Source organism: Homo sapiens, chromosome 3, assembly GCF_000001405.40.
Source record: "Homo sapiens chromosome 3, GRCh38.p14 Primary Assembly".
Taxonomy (NCBI): Eukaryota; Metazoa; Chordata; class Mammalia; order Primates; family Hominidae; genus Homo; species Homo sapiens.
In genome coordinates, this window is record NC_000003.12 from 104,101,887 (window position 1) to 104,106,579 (window position 4,693).

The 4,693-nt window shown below is 44.2% G+C and overlaps 1 annotated feature.

Moving 5' to 3' along the window:
• Window positions 717-896: an enhancer, noted in NCBI's record as "active region_20190". NCBI's record gives its function as "activates an Ori minimal core promoter by ATAC-STARR-seq in GM12878 lymphoblastoid cells {active_cell/tissue: GM12878}" and the evidence as "EXISTENCE:reporter gene assay evidence [ECO:0000049][PMID:35858748]".

Here is a 4,693-nt window from a genome sequence, read left to right on the forward strand (position 1 = left end):
TAGTCCCATATTTCTCAGAAGTTTTTTTCCTTCCTTTTTGTTTTGTGTCTGACTCATTTAGTTCTGAGACCAGTCTTCAAGACCTGAGATTTCTCCTTAGTGTAGTCTATTCTGCTGTTATTACTTGTGGTTGCATTATGCAATTCTTGCAGTGTGTTATTCTGCTCACATCTGTTTGGTTCTTTTTTATAATGTCCATTTTCTCTATCAGCTTCAATGTCATTTTACTGTAATCCTTAGATTCCTTGGATTGGGTTTCCAATTGCTCCTGAATCTCAGTGATCTTTGTTCCTATCTGTATTATGAGTTCTATTTCTGTAATTTCCATCATTTTAGCCTGTTTAATCACTCTTGCTGGGGAATAGTATGGTCATATGGGAAAAAGAAGACACTCTGGCTTTTTGAGTTGCCAGAGTTCTTGCACTAGTTCTTTCTCATCTGTTGTTCTATTACTTGTGGCATAATTTGAGTGCAGTCAGTAAACTTCTTTTCTGAATGTTTTCAGAGGACCAGAACTTTGTGCAGGGTATTTGTTTGTAGCTGAATTCTTGTCTTTGGTTTCACAGGGATGTGTATCAGTCAAGTATTTTTGGTGTTTGCATTTCGTCTGTGATCCAGTAGATGGCGCTTAAGCATATTGACCAGTAGGTAGGCTCTTGCTCAGCCATGTGGCTCCAGTGTATTTCCTCCCAATTGCAGCTGCGCTACCCTCTCACTGCTCTGAAAATGTGGACTCCTCTCCCACTGGAGTGCTGGCTGCATATATCAGCTTGACACTCCTGGGCTGCACACTGCAGCTCTAGGGTGAGCTCAGGCTTTATGTTCTCACCCCAGCTTGAAGACAACAGGGGAAGGGACCTTGGCAGTGATTGTGGTAGATGACCTTTTACTTGTTTCTTGGGGTTCCACCCCAGAGAGATGCAGAACCACTATTAATCAGTACAATCGACCAGGGTGGAGTGGCTGTGCTGTGGGATTAAGCCAAGGGGGGTCTCGCCTGGTGATAAACAGGTGGGACAGGGATGTCATAGGGGAGACAAAGTGGCCTCTTCTCCTTAAGGAAACTACAGCTTGCTGGAGGTGTGGTTAAAGCCCTCCGAGTGTTTGTTACTTCCTAAGTCTGAGGGCAGAAAGGGCAGTACTGTGCAGTGGCAGTGACAGAGGGGCTTTTGGTTATCTCTGGGTGCTTCACCTTAGAAAAATGTGGAGCCATTGCTGCTGGGCATGTTCAACCAAAATGTGAGGCACTACACAGCTAGCCCAAGCTAAGGGCTCCACTTGGTGAAGAACTAGGGCTTGAGGGCTCAAAGGGAGGAGGAAACACTGGGCTCCTCTCCATATGGGGGCTGTGGTGTACTAGTAGGACAAGTGAAGCCCTCAGGCTCTTTGTCTCTTCTGTTTCTTCTCCAGACTGAAGGCAGCAGGGGCAAAACCACTGCTGTTGTTGTGGCAGAGGGGCTGTTGGTTGCTTCTGGGAACCCCTCTCCAGGGAAACACAGAGCCAGTAACAGTGAGTATGCTCACTAGGGGTGGGGCAACTGTTCTGCAGTCCCAAGCCAGGGGCCCTTCCTGGTAAAGAGTACGGGTGGGAGCTCACAGGGAGGAGAGACTGGGGTTCTCTTCGCATGTTGGCTGCAACGAGATGGAGGTGCCAGTGTAGCATCCAGACCCTTTTTCCCTTCCCCAGCTCAAGTGTAGTTAGTGCAATACCGCTGCAACTGCAATGGAAGAGGGGCTGTGTGTTGTCTCTGGGATTTCCTCCTCAGAGAAATGCAGAGCTGCTTCTGACTGAAGTGTTCAACTGGGGGCAGGGTGGTTGTCCTGGAGTCTTAGGCCAAAAGGGTCCACCCAGTGAGAAGTGGGAATGAGGATGTGTATGGAAAACAGTCTGACCAGTTTTCCATGGGGCAACTGCACTGTGCTAGGGATCTGCACCAGAAGCTAGTCACCACTCACATTTCAGAGCCTGAGGGCAACAGCAGTGAGGGCTAAGAGGCAGCAAAAATGGTGGCCTGCCTCTCCCTCTGGGAGCTCCATCCCAGAGAATGGCAAAGCTGCTAAAAGCACTAGAGCCCAAGTGCAGCTGGTGTGGCCATGCTAGGGCCCCATGACAGTGGGCTTTATCCTACAAGGTGCAGTGGAGTCGAGGCCTGCAGTCCATTGCTACTCAGATGCATGGATTCAGCCCCTTTCCTGGGGGCATGTGAAGGAATCTGACCTCCCCCATTGCCAGAGATTCAACTGTTTTTCTGTTGTTTTTTTGTTTGTTTTGTTTTTGTTTGTTTGTTTATTTGTTTTTTGAGAGAGAGTCTGGCTCTGTCGCCCAGGCTGGAGTGCAGTGGCGCAATCTCGGCTCACTGCAAGCTCTGCCTCCCCGGTTCACGCCATTCTCCCGCCTCAGCCTCCTGAGTAGCTGGGACTATTGGTGCCCGCCACCACGCCCAGCTAATTTTTTTGTATTTTTAGTAGAGATGGGGGTTTCACCGTGTTAGCCAGGATGGTCTCGATCTCCTGACCTCGTGATCCACCCGCCTTGGCCTCCCAAAGTGCTGGGATTACAAGCGTGAGCCACCGCACCCGGCCAAGATTCAACTGTTAATGCTGGGGTGCCTGGGGATTCAAGGCTCCTGGGACTCTGTGTACATCTGAAAATACACTATGTGTGTACTATGTAGTGCCCTACATAGCCCTCCTTGTCGGTCTAAATGCTCCAGGAGATCTCCTGAAACCAGGATGGCAAAGGTCTGTGGCAGAAATGTGGGTACCCAGGGACTCACCATTTCCTTATGGTATTGGGGCCTCTCCATCTCCATCCCACTACCAGGTGGGCAATTGTCCTGTTTTGCTCCTCTCCATTCTCCATGTGTCAAATTGTTTTTTTGATGAATCCCAATGTGGCTACTTGAATGTTCCATTTGAAGAGGTATTATTTACTCACCATTTCTTCCTCTTTCAGTGAGAGTGGTGCACACTAGCTGCTTCTAGCAAGCCCTCTTAGGCCAGTAGCAGTTCTATACACCAATAAAATAAGGCTGAGGAATACATAAAAAACTCAATCCCATTTGAAATAGCTATAAGAAAATACCTAGACATACATTTAAACAAGGAGGTGAAATAACTCTATAAGGAGAAGTAAAAAACAATGATGAAAGAAATTATGGATGCCACAAACAAATGAAAATGCATCTCATGCTCATGGATTAGAAGAATCAATGTCTTTAAAATAACCATGCTGCCCACAGCATTCCACAGTTTCAGTGCAATTTCTATCAAATTATTAAAATCATTTTAAACAGACTTAAAAAAAATTCTAAAATTCATACAGAACCAAAAAAGAGCCCAACTAGCCATTCAAAGGAAAACAAACAAACCTGAAGGCATCACATTCTCTGACTTCGAATTATAGTACGAGTCTATACTAACCAAAGCAGCATGGTACTGGTATAACAGCAGACACATAGATAAATGGAACAGATTAGAGAATCCAGAAGCAAAGCCACCTACATACAACCAACTAATTTTTGACAAAGTTGATAAAAATAAACAATGGGGAATGGACATCATATTTAATAAATGATGCTGGGAGAACCGGATAGCCATATGCAAAATAATGAAATTGGACCCTTATCTCTCACTGTATTAGTCAGGGTTCTCCAGAGGGACAGATTATACATATATATATACACACACACACACACACATTATATATATACATCATATAGATATACACATTCAGGGGAGTTTTAACTCACGCAATCACAAAGTCTCACAATAGGCTGTCTGCAGGCTGAGGAACAAGGAAAGCCAGTCTAAAGAGTCCAATGTTCCAGGGCAGGAAGCATCCAGCACGGTAGAAAAATGTAGGCTGGGAGGCTGGGCCAGTCTTGCCTTTTCACGTTTTTCTGCCTGCTTTATGTTTGCTTGCAGCTGATTAGATTGTGCCCACCAGATTAAGGGTGGGTCAGCCTTCCCCAGCCCACTCATTCACATGTTAATCTCCTTTGGCGACACCATCACAGACACACCCAGGAAGAATACTTTGCATCCTTCAATCCAATCAAGTTGACACTCAGTATTAATCATCACACTCACATATATAAAATTAACTCAAGATCGATTATAGGCTTAAATGTAAGATCTGAAATTATACAAATCCTAGAAGAATACCTAGGAAAAACTCCTGTGGACATTTACATAGACAAAAAAAATTATGACTATCTCCTCAGAAGCAAATGCAATAATAACAAAAATATACAAATGGGATTTAATTAAACTAAAAATCTTCTGTACGGCAAAAGAAATAATCAACAGGGTAAACAGACAATCTACAGAATGGGAGAAAATATTTTCGAACCATGCATTCAACAAAGGGTTAATACCCAGAATCTACAAGAATTCCAAATAACTGAACAAGAGAAAAACAAATAACTTTATTAAAAAGTGGGCGAAGGACAGAAACAGACAGTTTACAAAAAAGACATATGAGTGACCAACAAACATGAGGAAATTCTCCACATCCCTCATCATCAGAGAAATGCAAATTAAAACTGCAATGAGACACCATCGTATACTGGCCTGAATGGCTATTATTAAGTCAAAAAACAACAGATGTTGGTAAGGCACAGAGAAAAAGGAATGTTTTTACACGTTGGTGATCATGTAAATTAGCACAACCTCTATGGAAAACAATATG